Here is an 18,274-nt window from a genome sequence, read left to right on the forward strand (position 1 = left end):
GGCTCTCCGTGTCCCGACGCGGTTGCCTCACCCCATGCCCCTCAGGAAATGCTGAAATACAGCAGGAACTGCGAGGGGGCTGAGGACCTGCAGGAGGCGCTGAGCTCCATCCTGGGCATCCTGAAGGCCGTGAACGACTCCATGCACCTCATCGCTATCACCGGCTATGACGTAAGGCGCCCAGATGCCCGGTCTTCCCCGCCGCCTCCGTGGAATACACCAGCCCAGCAACTTGGCGGCCTCCCTGCACACGCCCCTCGCTTTGGTGTGAATGTGCAGGTTCTGGGCAGGAGGTCTGGGGTGGTCCCTAGATAAGCCCACTCCCAGGCCCCACAGCCGGGTCCACAGACCCCACAGCCGGGTCCACAGACCCCACTGGGCTCTCTGGGACGTGGAGAAAATCAGGAAGCGTCCCTTGCTTGGAGGGCACGCATCTCCAGCAGGAACGCAGCTCAGACCTCCTCACTCCTTGTCTTCTCCTGGGGAGGAGGCGTGGCTCGGAGCAGACGTGACTTCTGTTTTCTGGGCTGCGATTTGCAGGCTGGTGACTTAGAGCAAGTGGCCCCAGAAGGCAGATGTCACTTTCCCCGTAGAGCCCCACATCAGGTCACAGCTTATTCATCTTTTGTCCGTCTTTATGTCCACCCAGCACTCATTCTCAGGTGTTTTTTTTTTAACTAATAGAGTTGATTTATTGCAGCAATTTTTGGTTTGTGAGATAATTGAGTATAAATCAGAGGCCCTGAGGCTTCCCCTAGTGTTGACATTTAGCATGGGTGCCACACCTGCCACACATGGTGAACTAGCGCTGATGCTGATTAGTGACTGAGGGCCGTTCCCCTTGGAGCTCACTCTGGGTGCTGTGCATTCTGCGGTTTGGACAGGCGTGTAACATCCTACACCCAGCGCTAGAGCATCACACAGAGCAGCTTCACTGTCCTAGAAGCCCATGTGCCCCGCCAGTCCATCCCTCCTCCCCCAGCCCCTGGCACCTGCTGACCTGTCAGTCTCCACGAGCTTGCCTTTCCTGGGACGCCCTGCAGCTGGAATCCCACCGTGGGTGGGCTTTGCAGAGTGGCTGCTTTCACTCAGCGATGCGCGTCCATGGCCCCAGGCCCATCCCGTCCTGAACACAGCCCTGCTGTCGCACATTTAGGGGAATCTCGGCGACCTGGGCAAGCTGCTGATGCAGGGCTCGTTCAGCGTCTGGACCGACCACAAGAGGGGCCACACCAAGGTGAAGGAGCTGGCCAGGTTCAAGCCCATGCAGCGGCACCTGTTCCTGCACGAGAAGGCAGTGCTCTTCTGCAAGAAGAGGGAGGAGAATGGGGAGGGGTATGAGAAAGCTCCCTCCTACAGCTACAAGCAGTCCTTAAACGTAAGTGAGGCCGGGTCTGCAGCAGCACGCTCCTGGCCACAGACCCCGACGGGGGAAGTCTGTAACTCGGTCTGAGGTGGCCACGCTGACACCCAGCTCTCAGCCTTAGGTGTAGGGGTGGGGTATTCTGCCATTCTTAGCCCTCACCCCCAAAGTATTTCCATCATTTCGTGCCTGCACCAACACCTTTTAAAAACAAGGCAGTGGGTTCACTGTGCACGCGAACCCCATCTCCACTCTCTGCTCGCAGATGGCTGCCGTTGGCATTACGGAGAACGTGAAGGGAGATGCTAAGAAGTTCGAGATCTGGTACAACGCGCGCGAGGAGGTCTACATCGTCCAGGTGGGCCACCCACCCTACCCCTGGCCTCTTACACATTGCCACGAATGGTTTCTCATGGGAACCAGTGCAAGGATCTGCCATGAAGTTGCATCGAGCCCAGGAGCAGCCGCTGTACACTTCAGGATGCTGCCCTGGGCTGTCTTCACCCTGAGCTGGACCCAGAATGAAATGTGGGGAAAAGTACACATCAGACGGGGTGCTGCGAGGAAACGGGCTCTCCCTCCCCAGGGGAGCTCATGTGTCCCTGGACGGTGCAAGTGTGCATCTGGCACGCAGGGCCGATTCTCACGGTGGGGAGGGTGCCGTGCCCTGGGTGCCAGGCACAGTTCTTCAGTCAGTCCCGTGCATGGGGCACAGAGGGTCCCGCAATGCGGGGCCACCCACAGTGCTTTCCTCCTCTCCCCTCACACGCAGCCACCTGACCTTTGACTCCTAAGATTATCTTTGGATGTTCCGAGAGTGAAACCAAAGCGTGTTTCCTCGGGGGCCTGAGTACTCACCTCCTGGCGTTTCTTTTGGGGAAACAGGCGCCAACTCCTGAGATTAAAGCCGCGTGGGTGAATGAAATTCGGAAAGTGCTGACCAGCCAGCTGCAGGCTTGTAGAGGTGAGGCTGTCTTCAAGCGATCGTTTCCCGTAGCTTCCGCTCCAGGTGCATTTTTACCTATGTTCAGAGCAACCGCACAGTCCCCCCATGCGCAAGGTGCCTCGGCGTTGAAGTAAAGACGCTCGTTCACGTGGTTTGTCTGCTCCCTCCTCGCAGAAGCCAGCCAGCACCGGGCGCTGGAGCAGTCACAGAGCCTGCCCCTGCCGGCCCCGACCAGCACCAGGTGAGAATGGACACGCTGCCGCAGGCCTGCGTTTCTGGAGCAGTCCCGAGCAGGCCATTTGCACGCCAGGGTCCTCGGCCTCTGTCAGTGGGACCCTGTGGTTATTGGGGTTTTCCTTGAGGCCCCTGGTGTTTATGTGCTGACGGGTCCGTCCCAGAGGGTGTACTTCACAGATGTGTGCCTCCGACAATGCCCAGTCCCTCTCCAGCTCTTCCCGGGGTGGGCTGTTCCACAGCACGGCAGTGCGCACATGGCCTGTCCAGATCACAGCCACGCCCCAGCACTCCTCAGACAGTCGGGGCTCAGCTGGGAGCCGGCACTGATGGCCCAGCACACACGTGGGCACGTTTCAGACTCCGACCCTGACCGTGGCTTCGTCGTGTCTCTTCTGCCCTTGTTTTTTCTTTATTTTGTTCATCCACTTATTTTTTTCACTTTATCCTGTTTCTTATATAAGCTACCTTTAATCATTCATGGAACAGGATATGGCCTAAATAAATAATCCGTAGAACAGTAGTTTTAAAAAAGAAACACTCCCCCGCCCCCCCCCCCGCCCCCCGAAAAAAAAAGCCTCATACTTCAGAGCAAGTAGGGTGGGCGTCTGTTCTCATCCAGCCCGTCCGGGTTTAACTTAGAAGTGTGTGGCCCCTCAGAAGCAGGAGGGTGGGCATCTGCTCTCATCCAGCCCGTCTGGGTTTAACTTAGAAGTGTGTGGCCCCTCAGAAGCAGGAGGGTGGGCGTCTGCTCTCATCCAGCCCGTCCGGGTTTAACTTAGAAGTGTGTGGCCCCTCAGAAGCAGGAGGGTGGGCGTCTGCTCTCATCCAGTCCGTCCGGGTTTAACTTAGAAACACGTGCAGGAGATGCTGCTTTAGGATCAGGCCGGGAGCTCAGAGATATCTGAATGCCTCAGGTCCTCAGGGCGTTCTGAAAGACTAACCAGGCAACACACTATTTCCTTTTTGATTTGTCTGATGTCATCAGTCCCTCAAGAGGAAACTCAAGGAACATCAAGAAGCTGGAAGAAAGGAAAACAGACCCCCTAAGCCTGGAGGGATACGTCAGCTCAGCGCCACTGACAAAGCCCCCCGAAAAGGGCAAAGGTGGGTATGTGCAGGGACCGGGCCTCACACGGAGGCCTCACACGGAGCTGCTCACGGAGTGCTCACTGCATCCGAGAAACCTGCGCTTCCTGCAGTGTGAAGAAGCTTTGCAGAGCATTCAGGGCCCCTTGCTCCCCTCTTAACAGAGCCCTAGGACCCCACAGAAGAGCCCCTCCCTCTCCATTGCTCTGCACCCCTGCATCAGCAAGGCCAGCCCCAGAAGGAGCCTCGGCCGAGCGTGCAACCCGGAGCCGCCTTGGGCCCTCCCTGCGACAGCCGGACCCGCCTCCGCATCGGGTTGCGATGCCCTCTGCATAGTTTCTTTCTCTTCCTTCATAGATGACACGGTCACTAGCTCTGCCTCAGAAAGCTCTGCGCTTTCCAGAAAGCGCTTTACCCTGCAGGGTTTTGCTAACCTCAAAGGTCAGAAAGGTAAAAGTAGTGCCTGCCCCAAACCCACCCTCACCGTGGTGGCGTCTGTCATGCATCGTGTGTGACCATTCGTGCCTCCTTCGTCACAAGGGCGGCCACGCAAAAGCGTTTCTTTCCACCCAATCACGTGTTCCCTGATGCTGTGTCTCGCGCACAGACACCAGAGTTATTTAGAGGTGGCTTTCCTTCGGGAAAATGAAGGCGAGCTTTTCAAATGGAGGCTTGCTCAGAAACGGAGCTGTCCTTGGCTTTCCAGGCCCCCTCCTTCCTCTCCCTGCCCCCCACCCCCGCCTTCTCCCGCCTTCTCAGGTGAGTTCCCTGCAGGGTGCTGACCTTGCTGGCTGCGTGTCTCTGCTCCGCCTGGTGGCAGAGGCCGCTCAGCCATCTTCTGGGGCATCCACTAGTGAACAGGGCTGATGGGACCCTTGAGACGGAGACGTCTAATGCCCTGCTCACCTGCGAGAGCTCCATGATGGGAAATACATGGCGGGGAAATGGGCCCAGGAGGCCCTGGAAGCCGGCCCTGGCGTGCAGGCGGCTCTTCTGGGAAGCCCTGAAGGCCAGCGTGGACAAGGGCTCTTTCCAGAGAAGTAGGAGTGTTTTCCAATTTATAAAATGCTTTTAAGTTGGCCTGAGACTTGAAACAAACAAACAAACAACAGATTCTGGTGCTGCAAACTCTGCTAGCGCAGAACTAAGAAAACGTCCCTAGAGACGGGCCCCGAAAGGACGCCTCTGAGTGCCGCAGCCCCCACTCCCATGCCCTCCCGGCCCCTCCTTCACTGCGCGGCCCCTCGGCTCCCTGTGTTTTGCTCACAGAAGCTCCTTTTTCATCGGTGGAAAGGGGCCACAACGTCGGTGTCCCCTTCCAGCACGAGCGCGGGTCAGCCTCCTCGCCGCCTCCCTCCGTCCTTCACACTCTCTCTCCGGTTGTATTTCTGCCTCCTCCTCCTCTTGCAGCTTCTCCTACCAGTCCTGACAAAAAAGCCAAGCGGCATGAAGTAAAGAGCGACCCGACTCCCTTTGGTGTGCGAGGTAGAGTGGCACCCTCGGGCACGGCACCCACTCTGCGTTGGCAGGAAGCGCGGCCCAGCTGGCTGTCAGGTGGCCGTCAAGGCCACCTAAGGGGGATGCTCTCGTGGGTCTTTATGCTGCGGAGGCAGACACGCGGTTGTGTTCAATGTGTGATGCTCTGGTGACAGGTCCTCGAGGACAGCACGCCTCTCAGCCAACTCCTCACAGCAGGTCTATCTGGAGCCTGCGGAACTGCCCACCCCGTCGGTGGCTGCTGGCCACGGCTGCTGCGCTGGTCACCTGGCCGTGCTGGGTGGAGCTGGGTGGGGTCTCACTGCCCAGTGGCTGCTGTCGGCTATAGGGCACCCTGTTCCCTGCCCTTCCCTGTGGCACAGTTTGCCCCGACACTTCCTGCTGGGAACACAGAGCATAGCAACTGGCAGGGCCGACCCGGACCCTCCTTTCCCGGGGCCAATGAGGCCGAGCTCCCTGTCCGACCCGGACCCTCCTTTCCCGGGCCGACGAGGCTGAGCTCCCTGTGGAACCTGGCCCTTCTCGTTTCCTGCCTCCCTTATATTCTCAGGGTGAAAACTGCCCTGTGAAGCCCAGAGACCTCCCCTGGCCTGTTGAGGACCTTCAAGTGCAGGGACGGGGCTCATGTTTGCAATCTTGAGTTTTCAAAAATTTGCAAAGGTTCCCAGGGGTGTAAGCAGAACCAGCCTTCCCATTCCGCCCGCCTCCACAGCCTCCTCACATGACACAGCGAGCCTCACAGAACCAGGCAGAAGCTGTGGCCACCCTGGGCATGAGTTCAGAGGCAGGGAGCTGGCCCGGCGTTACTGACTGTCCTGCCTGCAAGTGGGTGGGCGCCCGGCTTGCTGCTTCGAGGCCCCAGGAGTGCTTGGGAGAAGGGAGTCATTTCCCTGTTGACAGTCTCCTGGGAGAGGCTATTCTTGTCTGTCAAACCCTCTCCGCTTGTGAACTGGAGTCGGCAGAGCCGGTCCCTGGTGGAGAAGGTGGGCCGGGTGGGCCCTGTGGGCCAAATGCCGCTTCTGCTGCACTTTGGCCAAGCTCAGCCTCTGCTTCCGTCTCGTCATCCATGAATGAAGACAGTACAGCCTTGCAGGGTCTCGAGAAAGCCAGTGTGGTGTTGAAGCCGGGCCACTGCCCGTGGGTCATTTCCACCGTGGTCAGTGTGGTGTCAGAGCCGGGCCACTGCCCGTGGGTCATTTCCACCGTGGCCAGTGTGGTGTCGAAGCCGGGCCACTGCCTGTGGGTCATTTCCACCGTGGCCAGTGTGGCGTCGAAGCCGGGCCACTGCCCGTGGGTCATTTCTGCTGTGGTTGGTGGTAGTGAGCCCAGGTGGTTCTGGGTGGCCTGAGCGCTGCCCAGCACCCACTCCCCAAGCCCTGCAGGTGGTGACTCCAATGAGCAAAGGCCAATGGCTGTTTTACAGAAAACAGAGGGCACCTTCCTGGCCATCACCCGGCCTCCTGCCTTCACACAGAATCCCCCAGCTCCTGGTGCAGCAGTGCTGGCCTGGCCTGTGGCTGCCCACTCCCAGGCACTGCCGTTCCCATCATGGTCAGACCTCTGCGTTTTGCTGTTGGCCTCCCCCGCGCCCTGTTCCAGCACAGCGCTCTTGATGGCCCGCAGAGAGGCTCTGGGGAGCACTGAGCACCCACGGCCAGGGCAGCTCAAGAATCCTTTTGTGTCTCTGGTGGTGCCAGGGGCAGAGTCGCTTGGGTTTCACCCCGCACAGGCCGGCCTCGCTGCCCCTGTGGACAGGTTCGTGTGTAAGGTCCTGCCCACGCCACACCAGCTCCTGTGCACACACAGCAGCCCCCCTTTTTTTGTTCCCACTGTCCTCAATCAGACTTTTGGTTCTGTCTGGCCAGAGGCCCCACGTGCGGTGCCTCAGAGCGACTGGGGGCCTGGACGGGGAGGGCACGCTGGCAGCCAGGCCCCACAGGCCAGTCCCTGCTGCTGTAGAGGAGGCACCTGGGCCCCCACCCTTGCTGTCTCTCAGCCTCCCTTGCTGGGGGCAGCTGCAGGTGCACTCAGGAGGCCAAGCTGCAGGTCTGCAACCGGAAAATCACAGTCCTCAATTCTCACACAGATGCAGGCCTGGTGTGGTGCCTGGAAGGCTCAACTGCCTCCAGCTGTGACCCCAAGAAGGCAAAGCACCCGGGTGGGGTGGAAGGAGCAGCCCCGTGCTCTGCTGGCTGACAGTGGTGCCCAGGCCCAGCTCCCTTCTCTGCACAGACAGCAGAGTTCCGCTTAGCACAGGCTTTTCCTTGCCAGCGCAGACGCTGTCAGCCATTGGAACTGGCCTGCAAGACAGCTTGCTGTGGCGGCTTTGCAGGCACAGGGCACACAGGCATCCGTGCACGCAGCTCCTCTGTCCTCCCCATGCCCCACACCCTCCATCGCAAGGAAACGCTTGCTTCCAGTGGTACCAAATAGGATTTGGAACCAGTTTGTGCCCAAGCTCAAATCTCGTTAGCATCTGCCTGTTTCCCTGGTGTGCATGTGTCCTGCCTCGATGCATTTGGCAGCAGGTGGGATGCGCTGGGCCTGCTGCCTGGTTGCTGGCTTTGCGTGTTTATTTAGCCCCAATGGCGTCTCCCATCTCCCCCGCATGGGAAAGGCCGGTGCTGCCCTCTGGGAGCCTGGCAGGAGGAACACTGGGTTGGGGAGGGGGGCATGTGTGGTCCCAAGTCTGGAAGAAGCTCCTTCCTCTTCTCCCGCTGGGAGCTGCGTGGCCGATGGGAGCCCATCTCCACCGCGGCACCTGCATGGTCTCAGCCTTCCGGTTCGGTGCCGCTGTGCCGGGGGCTACTCTCTTGCCAGTGGGGACCACAGCCCTCGGTATCCCATAGGTCAAGGGCGTCAGGCCCTCTCAGTGAGCTTCAGTCATTCACTTTAGAAACTGCTTCCCGGCTCGGTCTGCTAGGTGTTGAACATGACCGTGGCACTCACTGAAAACACCTGCCTGGGAGGGCATCTGCGGCAGGAAGGCTGCTTCCCTCCTGGCTGAGGGGCACTGCCCTGCCTGACAAGGGCGTGGCTTCCCAGGGCCTGGGGATCGAGGTCTCCCACAGGGTGGCCCAGCAATTGGAAGCAGATGGTCTCAAACCCTGAAACGTGCCAGGCATTCTGGAAGTTTGCAGGGGTGTCCTGCTCAGCTCTTTATGAACCCGGGAAGATGACAGGCTCTGTTGGGGGCCCACGGCACACATTTCAGGGGGTCTGTGGGACTTAGCTGACCCCACCTCAGACAGATGCAGACAGCGGCTCATCACCGGGGGGTCCCTCACGGGTGTCTGTCTCTCTTAGGTTGGAGCAAAACGTCCCACTCACTGGAGGCACCTGAGGACGACGGGGGCTGGTCAAGTGCAGAGGAGCAGATTAACTCGTCCGACGCAGAGGAGGACGGCGGGTTGGGCCCCAAGAAGCTGGTAACCACGGCTTCCCTGTGGGCACTTGGGGTGGGGGCTGCCCTCCGGGGATTAGGGGTGCTTCTGGCAGGTCCACCCAGGCTTGGGTCTTAGGACACAGCCCCAGCTCCTCCTAACCCTGGAAGGTCCACATGGGCCTGGGTCTTACGGGCAGTGCCAGCTCCTCCTAACTCTCTCTGGAAGGTCCACCCAGACCTGGGTCTTGGGGCACAGCCCCAGCTCCTCCTAACTCTCTCTGGAAGGTCCACCTGGGCCTGGGTCTTAGGATGCAGCCCCAGCTCCTCCTAGCTCCTCTGTCTCAGCAGCACTTTGTGTTTCTGGGTTAATTTCCAGGTGCCCACCCAGCCTCCTGTAGAGCCCACTCGTGGGTGCACCTTCCTCAGAGGAGACAGTCCCCACCCCCCTACCCTTTATGTCATAGAATGCTGTCACTGAGCCTTCCTAACTATACATACAATTCTCATTTTGTAAGAAAATGGAACTGCTAAGCATGGATTTGCATTTGAAAAAACATTCATTGTTAATGTCAGAAGCAAGAAAAAGCTGCCATGTGTTAATCATTCCAGTGAGGGTTACACCAAGAAGTGTCTGCTGCACCTTCTGTGCTGTGCGTGGTCCATGCCCCAAGGCTGGAGGTGCAAAGGGGACAGGTCCCGGAGGCTCTGGAAGGGCAGAGAAGCCAGGCGTGGAAGGGTAGGGAGAGCCCTCGGGGCCTCTGGCCTCTCCCACAGAGACAGCATGAAGGAAGGCCTGGGCGTGAGAACAGATGTGGGGGACACAGAGGCGGAGGCCACGTGGCAGGAGGGGAAACAGGCTGGTGGAACAGGGTGCACGGGGCCTGGGGAGGGATTTGGATCTCATTCTTTGTGGGGTGTGGGGAGTGATCCTGGCTACTCTGGGCACCACAGAGGCAGGAGCCAGTACAGGCCATCACGTGAGGGCAGGCAGCCCAGTCACCGTCCTCTTGCTCCAGGCCATCATGTGAGAGCAGGTGGCCCAGTCACCGTCCTCCTGCTCCAGGCCATCACGTGAGGGCAGGTGGCCCAGTCACCGTCCTCCTGCTCCAGGCCCTGCAGCCGGCAGCACCCCTCCGCAGCCCACCACACGCAGCACCAGGAGGCTGTGAATCTCCCCACTCTGTAGGAACAGCTGCCGCTTCCTGGGTCCCCATTCCCCAACGGAACGTGTTCCATGACATCTGTGCAGCATCCGCTGTGTGCCAGGCACAGTTCTAGGCCCCGGAGACAAAGCGGGAACAGCACAGACAGGAACCTCCACTCTTACAGTGAGGAGAGAAAGAGGAGTGAGGCTTGGGGAGGTTGGGCAGGACAGCTGCAGGGAGAGGGAGGGCAGAGGACGGGCGAGTCGGGGAGTACCAAGGAAGGCCTCAGCAAAGCAGCATGGAAATAAGACCTGAAAGCACGGAAGGGCCCTCCGGGAGGCGGGTATGCAGGCGCAAAGGCCCTGGGGCCGAGAGCTGTGTGTGGAGACCAGCGTGAGGGGCTGGGGCAGCTGGGCCCAAAGACAGATTCACAGACGCCTTCCATCGCCGCTGCGGTAGTCATGCCCTGCGGCGTAGCCTCCTCCCAAGGCTGGAGCCCTTCCCCGGAGCTGGTCGTGGCCAGGAGCTCCCACCGGGGCAGGGCGCTAAGGCCCGGCACTCCGCCTGGCTGCTGTGGGGCTGCTGCCGGGGCGGGTGCTGACGCTGTCTGTGCCCCTGCCCGTCTCCCACCAGGTTCCAGGTAAATACACGGTCGTGGCGGACCACGAGAAGGGAGGCCCCGATGCGCTGCGCGTGAGGAGCGGGGACGTGGTGGAGCTGGTGCAGGAGGGCGACGAGGGCCTCTGGTAAGACCCCGCGCTCAGCCCCGGACTGCCCCGCACGTGGCTGCCGCTGACCCTCGCCCCTTGCAGGTACGTCAGGGACCCGACCACTGGCAAGGAGGGCTGGGTGCCGGCCAGCAGCCTGTCCGTCCGGCTCGGCCCGTCCGGCTCGGCCCAGTGCCTGAGCAGCTCAGGTAAGGCCCACGTGCCCCGAGCCCACCCGTGACGCTGCCAAGGGCCCGGGCGAGGAAGCTGCCCCGTGTGTGCCCGGCAGAGCCGACGCCGAAGCCCGTCCCCGCCTGATCTCCCCGCAGAGTCGAGCCCGGGGTCGGCCGTGCTGAGCAACTCGTCCAGCTGCAGCGAGGGCGGCCAGGCCCCCTTCTCCGACCTGCAGGGGTAGCGCGGCCTCGGCGCCGGAGACCCGCGCGCTGTCTGGGGCTGCGGTGGCGTGGGGAGGGCGCGGCCCCCGGACGCCCCGAGGAAGGGGCACCTCACCGCCCCCACCCAGAGCGCCTGGCCGTGCGGGCTGCAGAGGACCCCTCCGGGGCAGAGGCAGGTTCCACGGAAGACCCCGGCCCGCTGGGGCTTCCCCGGAGACTCCAGAGCCCACAGAGGAGGGGCCGCAGGGAACAGCCCCGGGCGGCAGGCGCCGGGCAGCGGCATCTCGTCCTGGCTCCACCGTGCTGCTTCTGCCTCTGGACGGTGCTTTCAGGGGACGCGCGGACCGTGGTGGAGCTGCTTCCGGAGAAGTGGAGGATCCTCTGGCCAACGGCCTGAGGAGAGCGGGGCACGGGGTCTCTTTAGCTTTTACAAGTTTTAGGATTTTTTCAAGCAGGGATCAATCCCGTGGCCATTTTTTGTGGTACTTTGGCCTCAATTCTTCACCAGGAATCACTGTGTTTACATGAAATGACAATTTGATACTGTATTTGATAGAAAACTATTTTTTTGTTACCGGGGTTTACATAGAAGCACGTTGTTTATACCACTAAGTGACTTTGGGGGGGCTCTCCCATGGAAACGGATGGCACTCCCTGAAGCTCCCTGGTCACAGGTGGATGAAAACGTGTCCGTGGGTGACATCAGGTGGTGTCTCCACCACCAAAAGCAGTTAGAAGCCAAGGAGATTCCTTTATCTACCTAGGGTTCATTTTCAAAAGAAAATTTAAACTATAATTTAAACAATTAACGTTCTTTTCTACAAAAAAAATGCAGGGACTTGATTTTTTTAAAGAGCTTCACTGAATTAGGATATTTTTATTGCTTTTAAAGAAAATACAAAGATGCAGTTTCTGCAGGGTGTGGCGTGGACCAGTGCTGCCGACCATAGCTCAGAGAGCCCTGCCCCTGCCTCACTGCACTGCAGCCTCCTCGGAGGCCGCACCTCCACTCCACTCCCCACGCGCCCCCTGCCTCCCACCCAGGTCCACCTGCCACCTGGTGACCACCTTGAGTACAGAAGTGAAAGTGGGGAGAGTATTTTATTCAAGTCACAGCAGAACTGGAAAAAAACTCTTCTGTTTTACCAACTTCTTGTGTTTCAGAAACATATTCTGTTCAAAACTTTTGAAGCCCTTTCGGTGTCTAGTCTGCAGATGTTTTTGTATGTGTGCACCTCTGACCATGTGTGTACATATGTGTCTTGCTGGAAAGGACATATTCGCTGTCCCCGTGCTGCTGGGAGGGCCGCCTCACAGCCTCACGGTTCCCAGCCCCAGCACAGTGGAGGCAGGCGTGGCTGCATTCCCCTCACGCTACCCTCCCAGCGGCTTGTAGCCGTCACTGGCCAGACCTCCAGGGTGCGGAATCAAATAGGAAGCATGCAGAGACTCGGCAGCTTTTCCTCTGATGTGTAAGTTATTTGGAACGCGTGCTGTGTCCCGCGATGTCCCTGATGTACTGTGCAGGCGCGGTGCCTCCGTCTCGTCGCACAGCTGCGCGCCCTTGTGTGACCCTCCCCATAAAGGCACTTTACAGCTTCATGTTTCATCCACTGTCACTTTTTTTTAACTGCTGATGTAAATGGAATTTTAAAAGCAGAGTTCTTTATTGTATGGATGACGTTTGAATAAATATCAGCAACTCCTGCCATCTGCCTTTGTCTGTCAAGACACAGAACGTCTCAGCAGTCGGGGTTTCCAGGGCCGCAGTGCACTGTGCTTGCACATGGTAAGTCATTGTTGGGACGGAAAAGAAGCCGGCAGTGGGCAGGGCCCAGCGTGCGGCTCAGGCACCGAGCAACCGCTTTGCTTTCTTCTGTCAGACGGCGATGATGACAAAATAGCAACAAGGTTGTGCGTGTCAGAAACGCAAAGGCAGCAGAGGAAGCGTAGTGGAACCATTACAGAATCACAATGCAGCCGACACTCTCCAGACCAGAAAAGGGAGCATAAAGAAAGGGTATTGATCCAATAGAAGAAGGGAAGGGTGGAGAAAGGGGAAAGCATGGTTAACAGGAAACAACATGTAACGGAAGAGACAGCCCAGATGTGTCTGGCTCACAACAGACGTGATCATGTTATGCTGGCCTGGAAGAGCATCGGATCAGACGTGACAAGTCACTGCTTAGAGACCATCAAGCAAATTTATATATAGATTGGAGATTTAAAATAAAAGAAGACAGAACAGACAAACACCATAAGAAAGCTGGTGTAGCAGTATCGATGACCTGAAATGGGATTCAGGACAGTTCATAGAGTAAAGGGGGCTGCGTGGCAATCAGGAACTCATAAGCCACTGACTATAAAGCTCAAAACACAGCAAAGTTGGCAGTCGGCAGACAGCAATGTTGACTGTCATGAAAAGTGATCCCTGTTTGCCCCTAAACGTAGAGAAATCTGCGTTATTTTCCAGCACACATGGAGCACAAACAAAATATTTGCAAAACAATGGGAAGATCATTGAAACACTGTTTGGCAATTTAAAAGCTTGTTTCTAACTCACGGGATGCGGGCAGTCTGCTCTCTAGAACTGGACAGCGTGCACAGAGCCACGGGAGGGAGCAGCCACGGCCAGCTCAGATTGGTGTCGACAGCTTAGTGGTGTCTGATTTTATACATGACAAAATGAACGAGTTAACCATTTAAGCCAAAAAAATAAGACTAGCGTAACCCAAAGAAAGTATTTAAATACTTCTGTCAATTAGGACAGTTGAGAAAAGAGAATAACAAAATCAAAAGCAAAACTCAAACTTTGTACCTGAAAAATCTAATAAAACTGACTAATTTATAGAAAACCTAAGAAACTCCATATCAAATAAAAAATTTTAAATATGAGAGAACCATTATGAACACCTTTCTGCCAATATATTTGAAAACAGATAAATAGGATTTATTGTTAGAATTGGTCAAGAAGAAATGAAATACTTGGGTTGATGAATAACAGTTACAGAAATTGCATTGCAATTAAAAAAAAAATTACCCCAAACAGATACCAGATCTAGGTGATTTTGTAAGCATACAAACATATTTATAAAAGCTATTTAAAAGAATATAACAAGAGAAAGCAACTCAATAAAGTTATGAATCAAATTTAACCTTGGTACCCAAACCTGACAAAGATTATGTAAGAAAAGAATCAGCTGGGCCAGGTGGCTCACATCTGTTCTTCTAGTACTTTGGGAGGCCGAGGTGGGAGAGTTGTCTGAGACCAGGAGTTTGAGACCAGCCTGGGCAACATTGCAAGACACCATCTCTACATGAAATTTAAAAATTAGCCGGGCATGGTGGCACATACCTGTAGTCCCAGCTACTTGGGAAGCTGAGACCTTACAAGTGAGCCCAGGAGTCCAAGGCTGCAGTGAGCTATGATGATCATGCCACTGCACTCCAGCCTGGGCAACAGAGCAAGACCCTGTCTCTCAAAATCAACCAAACAAAAAGACAATGTAAGAAAAAATAAAATTATGAAGATGAATGCAAAAATTCCAAATGAAATATAATTAAGTAAAACCCAATTCTGTGTTATAAATAAAGGTAATACTTTCTAAGCAAGTAAATTCATCCCAGGAATGCAAGGGGTAGTATGTTAATGTGGCTATAATTTGCCATATTAATGAAGTGAAGGGTAAAATCACCAGCTTAACAAATGCAAAACAATAATTCAATTTTTATTCAACATGTACTTGTCATGTTAGGCCAACTAGGAGTAGAAGAAAATTTCTTTAACTAAATAATATGTATCAAACAAAATCTTTGCAGCGAACTTTTTTTTTTTGTTTGTTTGTTTGTTTGTTTTCTGAGACGGAGTCTCGCTCTGTCGCCCAGGCTGGAGTGCAGTGGCGCGATCTCGGCTCACTGCAAGCTCCGCCTCCCGGGTTCACACCACTCTCCTGCCTCAGCCTCCCGAGGAGCTGGGACTACAGGCGCCCGCCACCACGCCCGGCTCATTTTTTGTATTTTTAGTAGAGACGGGGTTTCACTGCGTTAGCCGGGATGGTCTCGATCTCCTGACCTCGTGATCTCCCACCTCAGCCTCCCAAAGTGCTGGGATTACAGGCGTGAGCCACCGCGCCCGGCTGCAGCAAAAATTTTAAGTACTGAAATCCTTTAGAACCATCCCCATTGGCAGCAGAACTGAACGGGGCCCCACTACTCTCCAGCGCCATTTAGCCGCAGTACTAGTGACTACCACCGCAAAGGAAAAGGAAACAAGGCCAGCGCGGCGGCTCAGGCCTGTCATCCCAGCACTTTGGGAGGCCGAGGCGGCAGATCACGAGGTCAGGAGATCGAGACCATCCTGGCTAACACGGTGAAACCCCGTCTCTATTAAAAATACAAAATTAGCCGGGCGTGGTGGTGCATGCCTGTAATCCCAGCTACTCGGGAGGCTGAGACGGGAGAATCGCCTGATCCCAGGAGGCAGAGGTTGCCGTGAGCCGAGATGTCGCCATTGCACTCCAGCCTGGGCAACAAGAGTGAAACTCCATCTCAAAAAAAGAAAAAAAGAAAAAGGAACCAAGGCATGCTAATTGAAAAATAACTTTTCATATCTAGAAAAACCAGGTGAATTCATAAACTATTGAAACTAAGAAGTCCACAAGATCAACCCACAAAAAGTTATTAACATTCCTAGCAATAACAATACTATTTTAACAGCAACCTAAATACTAAAATAAATGTAACAAAAGTTTTGGACAAAATTATGAAACATGATAGAAGGTCATAAAAGAAGGCCTAAATGGGAGATTTTTATGGATGGGACAATTCAGTATCACCAAAGTGTTAACTCTCCCCCAAGTTAATCTGTGTATTTCATCAAAATTCCAACAGAATTCTTTGTGGAATTAGGAAGTTGATTGTAATAAACATAGAAGATAAAGGTCTGAGTATAGCCGTGGTGATTCGGGGAGCAGAGGCAGGAGGAGGAGGGCTCACCTACCAGGCATCTGGATAGATCATAAACCTGTCATCAGTCGTGACAAGGGGGAGAGAGGCTAAACTGGTCGAGCAGAATTCAGATTCCCAGGCAGGGATGTGTGCAGGGACCTGGCTTGTCCTGGGGCTGGTCAATCTTTGGCACGGAATGGCCTCTTCAGGAACGGGTGTTATTGGGACAGCTGCCTTTCCATGTGGATGATGGCATAAAAGTATAGCCCCCCCAAACTTAAGATTAAAACATTATTATGAGGAAACAGAATATTCTTATTGCCTAGGGCAAGGATAGATTTCTTACAAAAGACAAGCTACACTTTAAGAGATGGACAAAAAGATAAGATGGACAATCTGAGCACATCCCATGGTGAATTTCTCTCCACGCTAAGACCCCAGACAAGGGTGAAAAGCAGGACCAAGGCCCAGAGAAGAAAAATTCTGCTCAAAATCATAACTGTTCAACCTTGCATACATTCTCTCTCTTAAACTGAAAGTTAGCATCCTACAGCACTGGTGTGACACCCGGCAGGCCCGAGGGCTCAGCTGCCTCCAGCTGTGGCCCCAAGAAGGCAAAGCACCCGGGTGGGGTGGAGGGAGCAGCCCCGTGCTCTACTGGCTGACAGTGGTGCCCAGGCCCAGCTCCCTTCTCTGCACAGACAGCAGAGTTCCGCTTAGCACAGGCTTTTCCTCGCCAGTGCACACACTGTCAGCCATTGGAACTGGCCTGCAAGACAGCTTGCTGTGGCGGCTTTGCAGGCACAGGGCACACAGGCATCCGTGCACGCAGCTCCTCTGTCCTCCCATGCCCTGCACCCTCCGTCACAAGGAAACCCTTGCTTCTAGGATTGCACCAAATAGGATTTGGAACCAATTGGTGCCCAAGCTCAAATCCTGTTAGTGGCTGCCTGTTTCCCTGGCATACATGCGTCCTGCCGAGATGCATTTGGCACCAGGTGGGATGTGCTCACTGGTTCCCAAAACGAGAACACATAGCAGTTTCCCTGGATGTTTGTTCAATACTATTCCCGGGACCTGCCCGTAGATTCCAATTCCTTATGGGTGTGGAAGAGCCTGGAAATCACGTGTGTGTAGGTGTGTGGCATGTGTATAGGGGTGTGTTTATGTGGTGTGACTTTGGGGTATGAGTGTGGCATGTGTACGGTGTGTGTGAGTGTGGTATGTGTATGGCGTGAGTTTGGGTTGTGCGAGCGTGGTTCTCATGTACGAGTGTGAGCATGGAGATTCTTTGGTAGGGAAGGAGTCAGGGTCTCCCTCTGTCGCCCAGGCTTGAGTGCAGTGGCACAATCTCAGCTCATTGCAACCTCTGCCTCCCGGGTTCTCTGTCTCTGGGACCACAGGCATGAACCACCAAGCCCAGCTAATTTTTTTATTTTTTGTCTAGCTTTGGTCTTGCTATGTTGCCCAGGTTGGTCTGGAACTCCTTTCCTCAAGCGATCCTCAGTCCTCAGCCTCCCAAAGTGCTGGGATTACAGGCATGAGCCACCACCCAAGAGATTCTGATGTCACAGACATCTGACTCACACACTCCCTGGACAGCTCACGTGTGCCCACCACCACAGTCAGGGATGGCTGCAGATGAACAAGGTGCTGACGTGGTTTCTGTAGCCCCCAAACAAGCAACTTGCCTTGAGATGACAACCAAAGTTTTCCTGTGTCCTCCACACTCAAGAGTGACTGTGAGGCGGAGGGGCCCAGCCCTTCTTGCAGGCGGGAATGAGTGGATGGGTGGATCAACAGAGGCTGCCACAGGAGAGAGGGAGGCCTGGCCTGGGAACAGAGCTGTGACCGTGCCCTTCCCCAGGGTAGGGGCTGAAGGACCCTCCCATCCTAGTGACAGGGCCACAGCATGTCCAAGGAGGCCCCAGAGGAGGTCCCGGGAGTCCTGGGAGAGCCTGGTTAGCCTCCCTGAAGGGAGGAAGTGGGGTTTTGTGAGAGGGATGGTGCAGCAGCCCCCACACCTGCTACTCCGTGTGGCCGGGTCCAGCCCCAGGCAAGGTTCCAGGCATGCCCCTGGGACAGACGTGGGAGGGAGACCAGCAGGCAGGTCCCCCTCAGGGAGGTATGGAGCGGGTCCCCGGGGCCAGGTGGAGCCCCTCACACCTGTGTCCTCAAGGACCCACACCAGGACAATGGCCATAGGCGGGCACCTGCAGCCGCCCTGGCCAGCAGTGAGACGGGCAGAGAGCCCAGCCAGATAGCCCGGTTCCTGCCCCCTCCCGCCTGCCCGCACAGAGAGGGCTGCATGCAGGTGAGGGTCCATCACCTGAAGAGCTTCACCAGCCCCGAGGCCATGAGCCACTGAATCTCTCAGGGGGTTTTGGCGCTTGAGGTTCCCCAGGTCATTCTGCTGCCCAGAGAGGGTTGAGGACCTCTGACCTGGAGCCCCAAAGGGGAAGGGTACCCTAAGACCAGCCAGCCATCTACTCTCAGGTGGGAAAGGGGTAGGGTTTAGATATGGCCCCCTCCCCTCCACGTCCTGAAATTACCTTGGGCTGTGCTG

At 56.0% G+C, this 18,274-nt stretch overlaps 1 protein-coding gene across 28 annotated transcripts in view, besides 4 other annotated features; it reads left to right on the plus strand.

The window, feature by feature from the left end:
- Positions 1–13,664, plus strand: part of MCF2L (MCF.2 cell line derived transforming sequence like) — a 205,408-nt gene extending 191,744 nt beyond the window's left edge. For 10 of the 28 annotated variants that reach the window (NM_001438391.1, XM_011537483.3, NM_001438390.1 and 7 more), the window contains 12 exons: positions 46–171; positions 1,157–1,378; positions 1,629–1,721; positions 2,249–2,327; positions 2,484–2,550; positions 3,532–3,650; positions 3,990–4,082; positions 5,043–5,117; positions 8,436–8,557; positions 10,293–10,405; positions 10,472–10,575; positions 10,696–13,664. In NM_001438391.1, coding sequence (NP_001425320.1) covers positions 46–171; positions 1,157–1,378; positions 1,629–1,721; positions 2,249–2,327; positions 2,484–2,550; positions 3,532–3,650; positions 3,990–4,082; positions 5,043–5,117; positions 8,436–8,557; positions 10,293–10,405; positions 10,472–10,575; positions 10,696–10,781 — 1,299 coding nt within the window. In that variant the 3' untranslated portion in view covers positions 10,782–13,664. Of the gene's footprint in view, positions 1–45; positions 172–1,156; positions 1,379–1,628; positions 1,722–2,248; positions 2,328–2,483; positions 2,551–3,531; positions 3,651–3,796; positions 4,106–5,042; positions 5,118–8,435; positions 8,558–10,292; positions 10,406–10,471; positions 10,576–10,695 lie in introns of those variants that run through there. The other 18 variants (NM_001438393.1, XM_047430222.1, NM_001438762.1 and 15 more) reach the window with 3 other exon arrangements.
- Positions 3,803–4,308: an enhancer, noted in NCBI's record as "H3K4me1 hESC enhancer chr13:113744195-113744700 (GRCh37/hg19 assembly coordinates)". NCBI's record gives its function as "activates a minimal SCP1, AML or CMV promoter by ChIP-STARR-seq in naive H9 embryonic stem cells {active_cell/tissue: H9 hESC(naive)}" and the evidence as "EXISTENCE:reporter gene assay evidence [ECO:0000049][PMID:30033119]".
- Positions 6,391–6,892: an enhancer, noted in NCBI's record as "H3K27ac-H3K4me1 hESC enhancer chr13:113746783-113747284 (GRCh37/hg19 assembly coordinates)". NCBI's record gives its function as "activates a minimal SCP1, AML or CMV promoter by ChIP-STARR-seq in naive H9 embryonic stem cells {active_cell/tissue: H9 hESC(naive)}" and the evidence as "EXISTENCE:reporter gene assay evidence [ECO:0000049][PMID:30033119]".
- Positions 6,893–7,392: an enhancer, noted in NCBI's record as "H3K27ac-H3K4me1 hESC enhancer chr13:113747285-113747784 (GRCh37/hg19 assembly coordinates)". NCBI's record gives its function as "activates a minimal SCP1, AML or CMV promoter by ChIP-STARR-seq in naive H9 embryonic stem cells {active_cell/tissue: H9 hESC(naive)}" and the evidence as "EXISTENCE:reporter gene assay evidence [ECO:0000049][PMID:30033119]".
- Positions 10,213–10,713: an enhancer, noted in NCBI's record as "H3K4me1 hESC enhancer chr13:113750605-113751105 (GRCh37/hg19 assembly coordinates)". NCBI's record gives its function as "activates a minimal SCP1, AML or CMV promoter by ChIP-STARR-seq in naive H9 embryonic stem cells {active_cell/tissue: H9 hESC(naive)}" and the evidence as "EXISTENCE:reporter gene assay evidence [ECO:0000049][PMID:30033119]".

The sequence above is a fragment of the Homo sapiens genome, chromosome 13 (assembly GCF_000001405.40).
Source record: "Homo sapiens chromosome 13, GRCh38.p14 Primary Assembly".
NCBI classification, from domain to species: Eukaryota; Metazoa; Chordata; class Mammalia; order Primates; family Hominidae; genus Homo; species Homo sapiens.